General features: G+C 41.2%; 1 long non-coding RNA gene across 2 annotated transcripts in view; it reads left to right on the forward strand.

Moving 5' to 3' along the window:
* The first annotated feature begins 771 nt into the window (after positions 1-771).
* Positions 772-18618, forward strand: part of LOC124900465 (uncharacterized) — a 145830-nt gene continuing 127983 nt past the window's right edge. For both annotated transcript variants that reach the window (XR_007067823.1, XR_007067822.1), the window contains exons 1-2: positions 772-845; positions 10736-12266. This is a non-coding gene — a long non-coding RNA (uncharacterized LOC124900465). The remainder of the gene's footprint in view (positions 846-10735; positions 12267-18618) is intronic.

Consider the following 18618-nt stretch of genomic DNA (forward strand, 5'->3'; position numbering starts at 1 on the left):
TATGTTTAGATTTAACAGTTAGATAGCCATGTAGAAATGTGATTGGATGGCCAGGCGTGGTGGCTCACGCCTGTAATCCCAGAAATTTGGGAGGCCGAGGCGGGCGGATCACTTGAGGTCAGGAGTTCGGGGCCAGGCACTGTGGCTCATGCCTGTAATCCCAGCACTTTGGGAGGCCAAGGTGGGTGGATCACGAGGTCAGGGGATCAAGACCATCCTTGCTAACACGGTGAAACTCTGTCTCTACTAAAAATACAAAAAAAAAAAAATTAGCCGGGCGTGGCGGTGTGTACCTGCAGTAACAGCCGCTGGGGAGGCTGAGGCAGGAGAATGGTGTGAACCCGGGAGGTGGAGCTTGCAGTGAGCTGAGATCGCACCACTGCATTCCAGCCTGTGCGACAGAGTGAGACTCCGTCTCAAAGAAAAAAAAAAAAAAAAAAAAAAAGGAGTTCGGGACCAGGCTAGCCAAAATAGTGAAATCCCTACTAAAAATACAAAAATTAGCCGGGTGTGGTGGTGGGCACCTATAATCCCAGCTACTTGGGAGGCTGAGGCAGAAGGATTGCTTGAACCTGGGAGGTGGAGGTTGCAGTGAGCTGAGATTGTGCCACTGCACTCCAGCCTGGGTGACAGAGTGAGTTTGTCTCAAAAAAAAAAAAAAAAAAAAAAAGAAATGTGACTCGACAAAAAGGATAGAATCTAATGTAAATAGGCTGAGTGGGGAAACCCAGCCAGCCCCGTCTGTCTAGATTCTTCTCAGCCTGTCCGAGCACACATTCCTTTCTTCTGGATATGGGGCAGGATCCTTTCTGGAACGGGGATCTTATGACCTGTAGTCAAACAAGGTAGGTCGGATAATTTCTTTGTGGTCAGTTTTTACACAGAAAGGCAGAGGGAAAATTAGAATAATCGTTTGAGGCTTTGTAACTAACTCTGGGGAGAAGGGGTTCTGGTTTCTTTTTTTTTTTTTTTTTTTTGAGACGGAGTCTCGCTCTGTCACGCAGGCTGGAGTGCAGTGGCGTGATCTTGGCTCACTGCAAGCTCCGTCTCCCGGGTTCACGCCATTCTCCTGCCTCAGCCTCCTAAATAGCTGGGGCTACAGGTGCCCACCACCATACCCGGCTAATTATTTTGTATTTTTAGTAGAGACGGGGTTTCTCCGTGTTAGCCAGGATGGTCTCGATCTCCTGACCTCGTGATCTGCCCGCCTCGGCCTCCCAAAGTGCTGGGATTACAGGCGTGAGCCACCGCGCCTGGCCAGGGGTTCTGGTTTCTAAGACCCACCGTGGGGAAGAGGGATTCTAGTTTCTATGGCTAGTCTCCAGGGAAGATGGGACTGAGAGATAGTAGGGCAGAGAAAAACTTTTGCTTCTGAGGCTGCTGTTGAGGCCCTTATTTGGGGGTGTTGTATTCTGAGCCCTAACATTAATAAGAGAAAAGCCATACCAATTAAAGTTTTACATGACGTGGGAGCCTTCATAAGGAAATGAAGACCCGAAGAAACAAACCTGAAGCTTTTTACAGTAGGTTTGATCAAGAGTAGACAATCATGGAGAAATATGATAGGACAAAGATGGTTTAAACTAAATGTAATCAATGGAGGAAAACTTAGTAAAGTCTATTTGTTCAGATTCTTTTTTGTGTCTCTGTGTCTTCAGATATAAGGATGTTCCTTCCTGTGGGTATGGGGAGGGTGTTACGACCTGTTCCAGGGAAAAAGGGTAGGGCAAGATCAGAGTGACCTTTCTACTTCTGTGGTTTTCTTAAATTCCTTCAGCTTTGGGGTAACATGTGTTTAACCCCACCATGGGAAAGTGGACAACAGTATCAATGGCTTCTAATTCTTACAGTAAAAATGTCTCATAAATATTACATAAAATCTGGCTTTAAGGAAGGTAAAATTGGATTTATCCAACACTGTTACAGGGAAGCATTTCTAATGATTCAAGGGGACAGGAAACTGAACAAATGATATTGGCAATGTTGAATATGTGTCCAGGAGCTCACTGAGGAGGGAACTTGGCTTAGTCATCTCGGGGTCTTTAGGACCTAGAGCTTAGCCCTGACTTATAGCTTCATAAAGTGTTTACTGTTCCTTATAAGATCCTTTAAAATTCTTCCTTAGTGACCATGAGAAGGCAGTTTTTATCTTCCCAGAAACAGATTTGAATAATTTAAAACCAGTTGTAGCCACCGTGGGGTTGTAGAGTATCGAAGTTAACAGTTGAGGGGCTGAATTCAAGCTGCAGACAAATTAATTTTTTTGGTCTTTATCAGCTCAGATTGTAAAACATTAAATTTAGATTCCCTTGGAAGAGAAGTACACTCTCCAGTTTTAAACTTTCCCTGCACTCTCTTAAGGTTCAATAATTTGGATCCCTGGAACAAACTGATAGTAGGCAGATTCACAGAAGGAAAAGCATACAGTTCATTACTTGCAATTGAACAGAAGCCTCACAAAATATAAGAGTCAAAGAAAGACCAGATGACTAAAGTTGTTATGCCACACAGAAAGGAATTGAAGCTAGGGTGCCCTGGAGGGTGGTGGCAACAAGCTATGGGGGCAAGAGGAGGAACTGTACAGCGAGTAAAAGCTGTCTTATTATGCAGATCAAGTCTCTATGGCAGCAGCCCTCAGAAGAATAGATGATAGCCAGTGGTACAAGTTTCTCTGAAGGAGGTATCAGACTATTATTCTCTTTCTGTGAGTTAATCTTTCGTGGTTGCTATTTTTCTGGGGGAACTTCCCTGAGTCAGATAAGGCAAGATCAGAGAAAACCCTTACCTGCATTTGCTGCTTTCCAGGTGCTCTCAGTTTGAGTTTTAAAGCGGCATATTTGAGGGTATCATTTTCTGAGCTGCAACACAAGTGTTTCTTATTATATGACAATTGTTTTGCTAGCCTTATGCCTGAAGGCACTGGAGTTTGACCCTTTCTCAATACCTGAGAAACGAAGAAGCGCAGCTAGCTGAGTGAGCTGATGTAAAAAACCCAAAATCAGTGTTTTCAAGCTTGCATCGCTACATCAAGTGGCTTCCTAAACTAGGGGAAGATACTTGCATCTTCTTATTTGTTCAATTTGCCTCTCTGGTTTCCAGTTGCCCTATTAGCAGGCAATCTAGAACCTCCTTCTTAATGACCCGCTCCAGCCAGGTAGGTCCTATTTGCAAACACCAGATTTTCCAGGCACCGTTAGACACTGATGGCACCACTGGCTTACAAAATTCTTTTGGTGCACCTCCCAGGCTTAGGGATTATTTTCCAAACACAACTGCTGAGGCCAGATTCTGGGCCTGGCCTGTGTGTCTAGCATCAATTTCCCACTGTGCTCAAACCAGTGTTTCCCTCTCACCCAACAACAACTTCCTATACCTTTGTCTGGGGAGCTCAGACTTGGAGTATATCAGGAAGGGAACAGGCATATGATTTGGATACAGCACCACATTCTTTCTTGGACCCTGGTCCCCAGCTAGACTGACCTTGCCTCCAGGTGACTGTTTTTTGTTTTTTATTTTTTCTCTTTTTCTTTTCTTTTTTATTTTATTTATTTATTTATTATTATACTTTAAGTTTTAGGGTACATGTGCACATTGTGCAGGTTAGTTACATATGTATACATGTGCCATGCTGGTGTGCTGCACCCATTAACTCGTCATTTAACATTAGGTATATCTCCTAATGCTGTCCCTCCCCCCTCCCGCCACCCCACAACAGGCCCCGGTGTGTGATGTTCCCCTTCCTGTGTCCATGTGTTCTCATTGTTCAATTCTCACCTATGAGTGAGAACATGCAGTATTTGGTTTTTTGTCCTTGCGATAGTTTGCTGAGAATGATGGTTTCCAGCTTCATCCATGTCCCTACAAAGGACATGAACTCATCATTTTTTATGGCTGCATAGTATTCCATGGTGTATATGTGCCACATTTTCTTAATCCAGTCTATCATCGTTGGACATTTGGGTTGGTTCCAAGTCTTTGCTATTGTGAATAATGCCGCAATAAACCTACATGTGCATGTGTCTCTATAGCAGCATGATTTATAATCCTTTGGGTATATACCCAGTAATGGGATGGCTGGGTCAAGTGGTATTTCTAGTTCTAGATCCCTGAGGAATCGCCACACTGACTTCCACAATGGTTGAACTAGTTTACAGTCCCACCAACAGTGTAAGAATGTTCCTATTTCTCCACATCCTCTCCAGCACTTGTTGTTTCCTGACTTTTTAATGATCGCCATTCTAACTGGTGTGAGATGATATCTCATTGTGGTTTTGATTTGCATTTCTCTGATGGCCAGTGATGATGAGCATTTTTTCATGTGTCTTTTGGCTGCATAAATGTCTTCTTTTGAGAAGTGTCTGTTCATATCCTTCGCCCACTTTTTGATGGGGTTGATTTTTTTTTCTTGTAAATTTGTTGGAGTTCATTGTAGATTCTGGATATTAGCCCTTTGTCAGATGAGTAGATTGCAAAAATTTTCTCCCATTCTGTAGGTTGCCTGTTCACTCTGATGGTAGTTTCCTTTGCTGTGCAGAAGCTCTTTAGTTTAATTAGATCCCATTTGTCAATTTTGGCTTTTGTTCCCATTGCTTTTGGTGTTTTAGACCTGAAGTCCTTGCTGGTGCCTATGTCCTGAATGGTATTGCCTAGGTTTTCTTCTAGGGTTTTTATGATTTTAGGTCTAACATTTAAGTCTTTAATCCATCTTGAATTAATTTTTGTATAAGGCGTAAGGAAGGCATCCAGTTTCAGCTTTCTGCATATGGCTAGCCAGTTTTCCCAGAACCATTTATCAAATAGGGAATCCTTTCCCCATTTCTTGTTTTTGTCAGGTTTGTCAAAGATCAGATGGTTGCAGATATGCAGCATTACTTCTGAGGGCTCTGTTCTGTTTCATTGGTCTGTATCTCTGTTTTGGTACCAGTACCATGCTGTTTTGGTTACTGTAGCCTTGTAGTATAGTTTGAAGTCAGGTAGCGTGATGCCTCCAGCTTTGTTCTTTTGGCTTAGGATTGGCTTGGCAATGCGGGCTCTTTTTTTGGTTCCATATGAACTTTAAAGTAGTTTTTTCCAATTCTATGAAGAAAGTCATTGATAGCTTGATGGGGATGGCATTGAATCATCTATAAATTACCTTGGGCAATATGGCCATTTTCACAATATTGATTCTTCCTACCCATGAGCATGGAATGTTCTTCCATTTGTTTGTATCCCCTTTTGTTTCATTGAGCAGTGGTTTGTAGTTCTCCTTGAAGAGTTCCTTTGCCAACCTTGTAAGTTGGATTCCTAGGTATTTTATTCTCTTTGAAGCAGTTGTGAATGGGAGTTCACTCATGATTTGGCTTTCTGTTTGTCTGTTATTGGTGTATAAGAATGCTTGTGATTTTTGCACATTGATTTTATAACCTGAGACTTTGCTGAAGTTGCCTATCAGCTTAAGGAGATTTTGGGCTGAGACGATGGGGTTTTATAGATATACAATCATGTCATCTGCAAACAGGGACAATCTGACTTCCTCTTTTCCTAATTGAATACCCTTTATTTCCTTCTCCTGCCTGATTGCCCTGGCCAGAACTTCCAACACCATGTTGAATAGGAGTGGTGAGAGAGGGCATCCCTGTCTCGTGCCAGTTTTCAAAGGAAATGCTTCCAGTTTTTGCCCATGCAGTATGATGTTGGCTGTGGGTTGGTTCTAGATAGCTCTTATTATTTTGAGATACGTCCCATCAATACCTAATTCATTGAGAGTTTTTAGCATCAAGGGTTGTTGAATTTTGTCAAAGGCCTTTTCTGCATCTATTGAGATAATCATATGGTTTTTGTTGTTGGTTCTGTTTATATGCTGGATTATGTTTATTGATTTGCGTATGTTGAACCAGCCTTGCATCCCAGGGATGAAGCCCACTTGATCATGGTGGATAAGCTTTTTGATGTGCTGCTGGATTCGGTTTGCCAGTATTTTATTGAGGATTTTTGCATCGATGTTCATCAGGGATATTGGTCTGAAATTCTCTTTTTTTGTTGTGTCTCTGCCAGGCTTTGGTATCAGGATGATGCTGGCCTCATAAAATGAGTTAGGGAGGATTCCCTCTTTTTCTATTGATTGGAATAGTTTCAGAAGGAATGGTACCAGCTCCTCCTTGTACCTCTGGTAGAATTTGGCTGTGAATCCATCTGGTCCTGGACTTTTTTTGGTTGGTAAGCTATTAATTATTGCCTCAATTTCAGAGCCTGTTATTGGTCTATTCGGAGATTCAACTTCTTCCTGGTTTAGTCTTGGGAGGGTGTATGTGTCGAGGAATGTATCCATTTCTTCTAGATTTTCTAGTTTATTTGCGTAGAGGTGCTTATAGTATTCTCTGATGGTAGTTTGTATTTCTGTGGGATCGGTGGTGATACCCCCTTTATCATTTTTTATTGCGTCTATTTGATTCTTCTCTCTTTTCTTCTTCATTAGTCTTGCTAGTGGTCTATCAAATTTGTTGATCTTTTCAAAAAACCAGCCCCTGGATTCATTGATTTTTTTGAAGGGTTTTTTTGTGTCTCCATTTCCTTCAGTTCTGCTCTGATCTTAGTTATTTCTTGCCTTCTGCTAGCTTTTGAATGTGTTTGCTCTTGCTTCTCTAGTTCTTTTAATTGTGATGTTAGGGTGTCAATTTTAGATCTTTCCTGCTTTCTTTTGTGGGCATTTAGTGCTATAAATTTCCCTCTACACTCTGCTTTGAATGTGTCCCAGAGATTCTGGTATGTTGTGTCTTTGTTCTCGTTGGTTTCAAAGAACATCTTTATTTCTGCCTTCATTTCGTTATGTACCCAGTAGTCATTCAGGAGCAGGTTGTTCAGTTTCCATGTAGTTGAGCGGTTTGGAGTCAGTTTCTTAATCTTGAGTTCTAGTTTGATTGCACTGTGGTCTGAGAGATAGTTTGTTATAATTTCTGTTCTTTTACAATTGCTGAGGAGTGCTTTACTTCCAACTATGTGGTCAATTTTGGAATAAGTGAGGTGTGATGCTGAGAAGAAGGTATATTCTGTTGATTTGGGGTGGAGAGTTCTGTAGATGTCTATTAGGTCCGCTTGGTGCAGAGCTGAGTTCAATTCCTGGATATCCTTGTTAACTTTCTGTCTCGTTGATCTGTCTAATGTTGACAGTGGGGTGTTAAAGTCTCCCATTATCATTGTGTGGGAGTCTAAGTCTCTTTGTAGGTCTCTAAGGACTTGCTTTATGAATCTGGGTGCTCCTGTATTGGGTGCATATATATTTAGGATAGTTAGCTCTTCTTGTTGAATTGATCCCTTTACCATTATGTAATGACCTTCTCTCTTTTGATCTTTGTTGGTTTAAAGTCTGTTTTATCAGAGACTAGGATTGCAACCCCTACCTTTTTTTGTTTTCCATTTGCTTGGTAGATCTTCCTCCATCACTTTATTTTGAGCCTATGTGTGTCTGTGCACGTGAGATGGGTTTCCTGAATACAGCACACTGATGGGTCTTGACTCTTTATCCAATTTGCCAGTCTGTGTCTTTTAACTGGAGCATTTAGCCCATTGACATTTAAGGTTAATATTGTTATGTGTGAATTTGATCCTGTCATTATGATGTTAGCTGGTTATTTTGCTCGTTAGTTGATGCAGTTTCTTCCTAGCCTCGACGGTCTTTACAATTTGGCATGTTTTTGCAGTGGCTTGTACTGGTTGTTCCTTTCCATGTTTAGTGATTCCTTCAGGAGCTCTTGCAGGGCAGGCCTACCTCCAGGTGACTGTTGACCCTGACAGAATTTTCCTAACTTCAAGGTTCTGGGAACAGAGTGGGACTGTTGATATCTTCCTTCCCAGAAGGCTCTAGATTCTTTATGTAAGCCAATCCATTTCCTCCCAAGAGACAGCTTGGTTACCTTGTGTTTCCTTGAATCACTAGACCTTTGCTGGAATAACAAAAACTCTTTTTCATGCTCTGGAGCCCTGCACCCACGCCATCAGGCCTATTCTCTCCACATTTACTAATTAAGAAAGATCACTCAAATCCTTCCTGCAATGGAGAAGACTTGCTTGCTTCCTGGTGACTTTCCCTAATTTATTTTTAAACCACGTCAAGCATCCTGTTGGCTCCTGCACAGGGATCCTACTGCATTCACATTTTTCACATGGAACTTTGTGTGGACTTAGAAGACAGAAACTCGTACATAAATAATTCACAAAGAAAGACGATAGGATCTAGTAATGTGGGCAAATTCTGTGAAATGGTTACCTGAATTATAAATTATAAGGGTCTATAAAGTCTCAGTTTTCAGAAGGCTTTTACCAAATCCAATAATTAAGTGCATTGCCAGAACTTTCTAGATTCTGAGCTGCTTTCCAACAGGGTCCCATTTATGCTCCTTTCTATTTCATACATAATTTAAAAATCTCAAAGAATGTACCCTGGGAATATTCTAAATACGAGTGGCCAGATCCTGTCCAATAAAAAAAAATGATTTTAAGATCGGTTCTACCAATGTGACTCCATCTGATTGAATTGAGAAAGTGATCACATTTGGTAGTAGGGCAGCCCTTTTACTAAATTATAAATATGTTAACTAAATGGTACTGCATCCAAATACTGCATCCAAATCATATGCCTGTTCCCTTCCTGATATACTCCAAATCTGAGCTTCCCAGATAAATATTCAATGAAAAGGCTTTAAGCACAGAGCTTCTCCTACTGGCCATTTAAACAATGAGGTGTAGGAATGTTTCAGGAGAAATGTAGGCATTTATGATTTTAATTGACTGTTTTTCAATTTTAACTCATAGCAGACTTAATTGTGGCCTAAGTTGCATGTGCCCACTGGAGACACTTCCTGTTTTTTAAAATTTTTGTTACTTTAAAAATATTAATGAATCCACCTGGCTAGAAACACCTATACAATCTATCCAGTGAGCAGGCTCCTTTCCACCCCTGTCCTACGCTGCCTTAGTTGTCACCATCTTTCCAATAGGGTAACATTTATTCCATTAACTTAAGAGATTTTAAATTTATGTGTGTGTATATGCATGCATGTATGTATATATGTAGATTGTTGGGAGTTCAAAACACAATACCCCAAAGTATGGTGTTTTGGCATGCTCAATACTTTAAACTGAAGGACATTGGAAAGGCCTCAGAACCAAGGTCTCTCTGACCCTCTGCTGCTCTCCTGTCTTCCACCCCTCTTCCTCCCCCAAACTGAGTTATAGTAACCAGAATTTCTCTTGCCCAAGGTGGATCATAGAAACTAGAACCCCTCTCTTCCAAATCAAGCCATAAAACCTAGGAAGGTCACTTTATCCCTTTTCTCCTGAGACCCTCATTCCAGAAAGGTCCTGCCCCATACCCAGGAGGATGGATTGCTACGTGGAGAAGTCAAGAAGAATCTGGACAGACAGGCCGGGCTGGGTTTCCTTCCTCCATCTACTACCATTAAATCATACCCTTTTGTGCAATCACATTTCCACACTGCTGTCCACACTTCATCAAAACTAAGCATAAAAAGAAACAGTTTTCCCTGGGTCTTTGGGTTTTCATTTCTGAAGACTCTCATGTCATATAAAACTTTGATTAATGCACCTGTTATGCCTTTTCCTTGTTAACCTGTCTTTTGTTATAGAAATGTCAGCCTGATAATTGGTGAGAAAATGTATCATACCTTTCTGCTTCTACAACATACACATATGTGAACATATATACATGTGCCTTGTATGTATGTAGGTACATATGTTGTGTGTGTGTGTCTGGAGGAGGTGAGGGAGGGAGACAGGAATACAAATAGGGAGTGGGAGAGAAATAGAAATGAACTCGGTTAATATATAAGCAGATACTAATGTTACTTTTCTGCCCTTTTTACGCAAATGGCAGGCAGCATCCTATACCGATTATTCTACATCTTGTTTTATTTCATATTTATTACTATATCTTGAAGATAATTATATAACAGTACATAAATGGCCTCTGTATTCTTTTTATAGCTGCATAGAATTTTGAGTTGTTTCCAATTTTACATAATTACAAATAATGCTTTATATGACGTAATAACTGTGACATATATTATTTGACATATGCTCAAGTACTTCTGTAGAATAAAATTTTGAAATTGGAATTGCTAATTCCAAAGGTATATTATGAACGTTTTTATTCTTGTAGATGTCTAATTACATTCTATTAGTAAATATGCCAAGTTACAGCCCCACTAGCATTGTGGGAGTGTTGACTTTTTCCACAGTTTAATCAACACAATGTATGTTCAAACTTTTGAGTTTTTATCCATTTAGCAGGAAAAAGTGAGCAACCTAATGTAGTTTTAATCTGTATCACTTATGGGTGAGATTATACAAGTTTTTCATATAGTTAAGATCCTTTTATATTTCCTTTTTTGTGAATTATTCTTTATCGTTTATTTATCACTTTAAATAGCATTTTTCTTATTTGTTGAAACATACTTTATATTTTAGAGATATTGATTCTTTGTCTACAATATAAACTTGCAATATCCTTTCCAATTTGTCATTTAGTTTTCTTTTTGCTTATAGGTGTTTATTTTTTATTTTTTGGTTCGTTTTGGTTTTTACACAAAAGTTTTGATTATAGAGTTGAGTTTATCCATTTTGTATAGCTTCTCGATAATGGATTCACAGTTGGAAATGTCTGCCTATTTTTATTTTTATTTATTTATTTTTTTAGTACGTTGATGGCCTCCTTTTTTTTTTTTTTTTTTTGATACAGGATCTTGCTGCGTCACTCAGGCTGGAGTGCAGTGGCACAATCACGGCTCATTGCAACCTCGACTCCCCAGGTTCAAGCAATCCTCCCACTTCAACCTCCAAAGTAGCTAGGACTACAGGTGTGGCCATGCCTAGCTAACTTTTAAAATTTGTTCTAGAGATGGGGTCTCACTCTATTGCCCAGGCTGGTCTTGAACTCCTGAGCTCAAATGTCCCACCAACCTTGTGCTCCCAAAGTGCTGGGATTATGAGTGTGAGCCACTGCATCTGGTGGCTTCCTTTTTTTAATCCCAATTTTTTATTCCTTAAAAATTTTTCCAGGTGTACATTGTAAAATTTGTTTTCTATTTTACCATTTTTCCAAATGGCTACCCAGTTGTCCCAACAGCATATATTAAATATTCTATCTTCTCTATTGATGTGAATTGCCATCCTTAACATTTACTAAATTTGCTTATTATTGATTGATTTTGGAGAAGGGGTCTCACTTTGTCATACAGGCTGAAGTGCAGAGGTGTAATTACAACCCACTGCAGCCTCTACCTTCTGGGCTCAAGTGATCCTCCCCACTCAGCCTCCTGAGTAGCTGGGACCACAGGCATGTGCCACCATGACTGGCTAATTTTTAAATTTTTTGTAGTGATAAGGTCTCTCTATGTTGCTCCAGCTGGTCTCCAACTCCTGGGTTCAAGGAATGCTCCCACCTCTGCCTCCCAAAGTGCTGGGATTACAGACATGACCCACCGTGCCCAGGCTGCTTATTTTTATTTTTATTTTTTTGAGACAAGATTTTGCTCTGTCACCCAGCCTGGAGTGTGTAGTGGCATGATCTCAGCTCACTGCACCCTCGACTTCCTGAGCTCAGGTGATTCTCCCACCTCAGCCTTCTAAGTAGCTGGGACTACAGGCCCACATCACCACGCCAGGCTAACTTTTGTATTTTTAGTAGAGACAGGATTTCAGCGTGTTACCCACGCTGGTCTCAAACTCCTGGGCTCAAGCAATCCTCCCACCTCGGGCTCCAAAAATGCTAGGATTACAGGCGTGAGCCACCCAGCCTGGCCTGCTTATGAATTTTGGTCTAGTTTTAGACATCCTATTCTACAACTTGGCTAGTCTGTTTATTCATGTATCAGCTGTTTTAACTATTAAGGTGTTATATGTCCTATCTAGAAGGGCCAATCCTCCTGTGTTGCTCTTCATTGTTATAATTTTCCTGGTTGTTTTTGCTTATTTATCTTTTCAAATGAATGTCAGTGTTAACTTGCCTGGTTTAAAAAACCGTATTTTATTGAAGTTGTATTAAGAGAATAAAAAACTGTGGATAATTAAAATTTTTATGGTATCAATTTTTTTCTCATTCTAACAAAAAGTATGACTTTCCTTTTTTTTTTTTTTTGTCTTGCGATGGAGTCTCACTCTGTCGCCCAGGCTGGAGTGCAGTGGCTCGATCTCAGCTCGCTGCAGCTGTGTCCAGAACTGGTGGGTTCTTGGTCTCACTGACTTCAAGAATGAAGCCGCGGACCCTTGTGGTGAGTGTTACAGTTCTTAAAGGCGGCGTGTCTGGAGTTTGTTCCTTCTGATGTTCGGATGTGTTTGGAGTTTCTTCCTTCTGGTGGGTTCGTGGTCTCACTGGCTCAGGAGTGAAGCTGCAGACCTTTGCGGTGAGTGTTACAGCTCTTAAGGTGGCGTGTCTGGAGTTGTTCGTTCCTCCCTGTGGGTTCATGGTCTTGCTGGCTTCAGAAGTGAAGCTGCAGACCTTCACGATGAATGTTACAGCTCATAAAGGCAGTGTGGACCCAAAGATTGAGCAGTAGCAAGATTTATTGCAAAGAGCAAAAGAACAAAGCTTCCATGGTGTGGAAGGGGACCGGAGCCACTGCTAGCCTGGGCAGCCTGCTTTTATTCTCTTATCTGGCCCCACCCACATCCTGCTGATTGGTCCATTTTACAAAGAGCTGATTGGTCCGTTTTGACAAGGTGCTGATTGGTGCGTTTACAATCCCTGAGCTAGACACAAAAGTTCTCCACCACCCCACTAGATGATAATAGATACAGAGTGTTGATTGGTGTATTTACAAACCTTGAGCTAGATATAGAGTGCCAATTGGTGCATTCACAAACCCTGAGCTAGACACAGGGTGCTGATTGGTGTGTTTGCAAACCTTGAGCTAGATACGGAGTGCTGATTGGTGTATTTACAATCCCTTAGCTAGACATAAAGGTTCTCCAAGTCCCCATCAGACTCAGGAGCCCAGCTGGCTTCACCCAGTGGATCTGGCACTGGGGTCGCAGGTGGAGCTGCCTGCCAGTCCCGTGCCGTGTGCCTGCACTCCTCAGCTCTTGGGTGGTCGATGGGACTGGGCACTGTGGAGCAGGGGGTGGTGCTCCTAGGGGAGGCTCGGGCCCCACAGGAGCCCACTGAGAGAGGGGGAGGCTCAGGCATGGCGTGCTGCAGGTCCCGAGCCCTGCCCGGCAGGGTGGCAGCTAAGACCCGGCGAGAAATCCAGTGCAGCGCCGGTGGGCCAGCACTGCTGGGGGACCCAGCCCACCCTCCGCAGCCTCCTGGCCCAGGTGCTAAGCCCCTCATTGCCCGGGCTGGCCTGCCAGCCCGCTGCTCCAAGTGCAGGGCCCACGGAGCCCACGCCCACCCAGAACTCGCACTGGCCCGCAAGCATGGCATGCAGCCCTGGTTCCCTCCTGCGCCCCTCCCTCCACACCTCCCCGCAAGCTGAGGGAGTCGGCTCCGGCCTTGGCCAGCCCAGAAAGGGGCCCCCACAGTGCAGCGGCGGGCTGAAGGGCTCCTCAAGCACAGGCAGAGTGGGCGCCAAGGCCGAGGAGGCACCGAGAGCGAGTGAGGGCTGTGAGGGCTGCCAGCACGCTGTCACCTCTCACAGCCTCTGCCTCCCAGGTACAAGTGATTCTCCTGCCTCAGCCTCCTGAGTAGCTGGGATTACAGGTATGCACCACCATAACTGGTTTTGATCGATTCTTTTTTTGTGTCCTTGAGAGGGTTTTAAAATTGTCTACCTTTAGCTCTTGTTCATTTCTTATTAAGATAATTTCTAAGTATTCTATAATTTTTGTTGCTATTGCTGGGGCTTGGAATGCAATACCCCATAGTATGGCACCTTGGCAGGCTGAATACTTTGGACTGAAGGAAATTGGAAAGGCCTCAGAAGCAAGCTCTTTCTGACCTTCTCCCATCCTCCTGTTCCTCTGTCTCCCCTAAATCTAAGTGAGTCTTAAAAACCAGAATTCCTCTTCCCCAAGGTAGGTCATAAAAACTTGAACCCCTCTACCCCAAATCAAATCATAAAACCTATAAATGTCACACTCTCCCTTCTCCCTTAAGACCCTTATTAGATGCAGGTCCTCCCCTATATCTGGGAAAAAGGCATCCTTCACAGAGAAATCAAGAAGTATCTGAACAGAGAGGCCTGCTGGTGTCCCCCCTGCTGTGGTTTGGATATGGTTTGTTTGGCCCCACTGAGTCTTATGTTGAAATTTGATTCCAATGTTGCAAGTGGGGTGTGGTAAGAGATGTTTGGGCCATGAGGGTGGATCCCTCATGAGTGACTTGGTTCCATTCTCACAGGAGTGAGTTCTCACTCTTAGCTCCCAAAACAACTGTTTGTTGAAAAGAGCCTGATACCGCCTCCTGTCTCCCTCTTGCTTCCTGTCCTGGTGTGTGACCTCTGTACACTTCGGGTTCCCTTTGCCTTCTGCCGTGAGTAGAAGCAGCCTGACGCTCTTGCCAGAGCAGATGCTAGTGCTATGCTTCTGGCATGGCCAGCAGAACTGTGAGCCACATTTTCTTTATAAATTACCCAGCCTCAGGTATTTCTTTATTGCAACACAAATGAATTAAGGCACCCTCTCATTCTATTACCATTGGATCGTGTCCATTGTCTAATCACATTTCTCCACAGCTGTCCAATCTTCATTGGACCTAAGCCCTGGGTCTTTGGGTCTTCAATTCTGAAGTTTCCTGTGTTACCTAAAACTTCGGTTAAATACATTTGTTATGCTTTTCTCTTGTTAACCTGCCTTTTGTTAGAGGAGTGTCAGCTGTGACCCTTATGATGGGTGAGAAAATGTATCACATCTTTCTGACCCTACACTATTGTAAATGGGACGATCACTGGTTACTAATGTCAATAGAAGTGACTCCTATGTAGCACAGCAGTAAGAATGGCCTCTTACTGGGTCAGCTAATCCCACACAGTAGATTAAAACAAGTTCATTTCTAGGAAAACATTCTCTCCATCACATTAAAAAATTTATTTTTTAAAATTCGCAAACAAAATTGTATATATTTATCATGTATGACATGATGTCTTGAAATATATAATCCCAAAGGGCTGGGATTACAGATGTGAGCCGCCGTGCCTGGCCAAAGGGAAATTTTTATGTGAGGTTTCTAAAAATGTTCCTTAAAGGGAATTGACTCATCTTAGACAAATACAGACTAAAGAGTCTTAGCTTCTCCCTCTTAAAAGTAAGGGAAGATAACATCACTCTCCTCCTTTTCCTTAGAGTGTTTATTTTGGAAATTTATAACTGCAAGTACTTTCTGCTCTCTTAGAAATGTATGTAAATTGTTTTGAAAAGTAGATAGGCCCTTTGTCAACTTGACCCTAGAATGCCTTTCTCAAGAACTCAGGAAGGAACCATCTTCTTTGAATGTAAACATTCAAGGAAGATAGCTTCCTATCTCCTAGTTTCAGTAGGAGAGTAGGGGAGTAATTTTAGCCTGACTCCAAGTTGTAAAACTACCTCCTGTCCAAACAATATGAGAAGTTTATTTTTCCTTTGTATAAAGTCAGTTAACTTACGCAGATGGTCACCACAATTACCAGGTAAATTTAGGATAAACTTAAGTGTAATGAAATGGTGCTGTCAAGACCTCTCACTTGAAGACTAGTTATGATTTATCTTGAGAACGTGTATGCAACAGGTTGTATGTGCTTGGGTGTATGAAGGGTGAGAGTTCTCTCTGTGCAATCTCTTATCAAATTGCCTGTGATGTGCATTACCTTCTGGTTTCACGCTTATTCAAAAATAAAAGGGCTTTCTTCCTCTATCACTTTCGTGGAGAGGATTTCTGGATTGAGAGAATATTTGTTTTTTAAATTATAGTTCCCCAACACTCAGTTGAGAGTCGTGCCCACTTTCTTCTCCCCTCTTCATACTTGTGAAGCAGGTATGTTTGCAAAGGCCATGGCTGCCATCTTGGACCATGTAGGTGACCTTGAAGATGGAAACCAACCAGCACGTTCAGAAAAAGGGGAGGACGAACCTTAGTCCCTGATAATTATGGAGCCATTGCACCAGTCCTGAATGGCCTACCTTTAGACTTCTTTTATATAAGAGAGAGATAAAATTCTCTTGTTTCAGCCACTGTTATTTTGGTTCTTCTGTTAAATGAGGGTGAAGCTTATTCTAACTGATATATTGCCAGAAAGAATAACTTCAGCTAAAATATAGCCAAATCAGGTTTCTTATTTAAGCATCCACTAACATTTAACTGTTTTTTTGCTTACACCCATGTACTGCAAGTCAACTGATTTAGTTATCAAGACATACATTTTGTAACCAGTTTATTTTTACTCCTTCACCATAAAGTCATTTGCTCAAATCTAAATGTTCTCTGGGTGCTGTTCTGGCTTTGAAAAGGTGACTAAGGTGGACTTCTGATAACACTTGCTTGGCTTTATTTATTTCAGGCAAAAATATTAAACTTTGGTCAAATTTTGATCAATTTCTCATTTATGCATATGTTGAAATGAGCCTAAAATGTTCTTAAGGGAAAGCTTGGCCCTCTCATCAGTTCACTTTTATGCAGAAGTAGCTACATCTTCTATTCCCAGGTCAGACAGAAAGGCTCTTCAGCTTTTGTTAAAGGATGTTAATTCAGTGCTAACTTTGCTGATGATTAAAACCCATCATTCTGTCTGACAGCAGCACCTGATAATACCTCCAGGCACTTGTCGGGAAGTAGAACATTAATTCACAGCCACTCAGTATCATGCAAAAGTCTGCTGAGAAGAGTAATATTTATGGAGGACAGTTTAAAAGAATATGTAGTCCTTTATTTTCTCAGATGATCTGAAATCCATCCTTAAACAGATAATCACAGGGCTGCTCATTTGAATTCCTTTGTTTTGGTCCCTTGTACAGTGGCTTTTACTCAGTTATGTTCTGTTATTATGACCTCTGCCTACATTTAAACATATTCTAAGTAACCTCTCTGGGAACTTATAATCATTAGTGTGAAGATGTTGTTTATTCATTACAGGGCATGTGTCTTCTTTACAAGGTCACATGTGCTGACTTTCTCTTTGATTTCATTATAAAAATATTGTGTATCCACTTAGTGAATAATTTTTATTGAGCAACTGGTTTATTTTTAGAGACATTGCATTTTTGTGTTGCATATAATTTACTAAGTCCAATGACTATTTTTCTGAAACAAGGGAAATAAAAATAAATAACTGGGCTTAATGTACCCTTCCCTTTCACGCTTTTACATATTGTCCTCCTTTTTCGTGATCACTATGTCAGTGATTTTCTACCTTGACTGCTGTGGTCTAAAAGTTTGTGTCCCCCTAAAATTCATATGCCAATCTTAACCTCCAAGGTATCTGAAGGTGGGGAACTTTGGGAGGTGATTAGGTCATGGGGGTGGAGACCTCACAAATGGAATTGATACTCATATAAAAAGAGTCAGAGAGAGACTCTTCACCCCTTCCACCATGTGAGGATGTTGTGCAAAGATGCAGTTTCTGAACTAGGAAGCAGACCCCCATCAATACAAAATCTGCCAACATCTCGCTCTTGGACTGGCCAGCCTCCAGAAATACATTTCTGTAGTTTAAAAACCACAGAGTTTATTGTATTTTGTTGTAGCAGCCCAAATGAACTAAGGAACTGGCTTATGGCTTTGTCTCTTTGGGGTAAAGGTAAAGAAGGATATTTGGATCATCCCATTTTTCTTAGGATCATCCCATTTTTTTTTTTTTTTAGAATGTAAAAGTTATGCTGAGCTTTTAGGAAAAACAACTTCAAAACTGAAGTCCTTCAGAATGATTAAGAGAAATTAGAATTTCTAGTTTATATTTTAGGCAATTTATTTAGAGTTGGGGTCTTGTTCTGTTGCCCAGGTTATTTTAAAAAATCTGTTTAAACTTATCATTTTAATACACTTACTTTTTAATAGATAATACATTTATGCAGCTCTAAATCTAAAAGAATAAAAAAGGTATGCAATGTAGTCTTTCCGAACTCATGTCCTAGCCCCTTAGTTGTCTTCCTTGGAAGCTGCCAAGGTTATGTTTCTTTTGTAGCCATATATTTTGGTGTATTTTTTTGTAAATAAAAATACGTATAAACTCTTTTTTTTCTGATTTGTCTTCTTTTTGAGATAGGGTCTCACTCTGTCACCCAGGCTGGAGTGCAGCAGTGCAGTCATAGCTCATTGTAGCTTCGAACTCCTGGACTCAAGTGATCCTCCCACCTTGGCCTCCCAGAATACTGAGATTACAGACATTTTTTTCTGATTTTTTAATTGTAAAATACTGATCACATTGTGCTGTCATTTTCATTTGTCACAAACTGTATATTATGAAGCTTTCTCCATATCGAAGGGGATAAAGTCCTTCCTTATTCTTTGCTCTGATCACCAAGTACTCTATGGCTATACTTTACTTAACCAGTTCCCTATTCACATCATTCTTGTTGCTTCTAATTCTTTTTAAAAATTGTTATTACAAACAATACTTTATTGGCTAACCTTTTACAGAGCCAAGTTTCCAGTATGATAAAGCCCTATAAGTTTAACTTTTGGCTCACATTTTACTGGATTTTAGGTTTTGATGGGTA

This window comes from Homo sapiens, chromosome 21, assembly GCF_000001405.40.
Source record: "Homo sapiens chromosome 21, GRCh38.p14 Primary Assembly".
Lineage (NCBI taxonomy): Eukaryota > Metazoa > Chordata > Mammalia > Primates > Hominidae > Homo > Homo sapiens.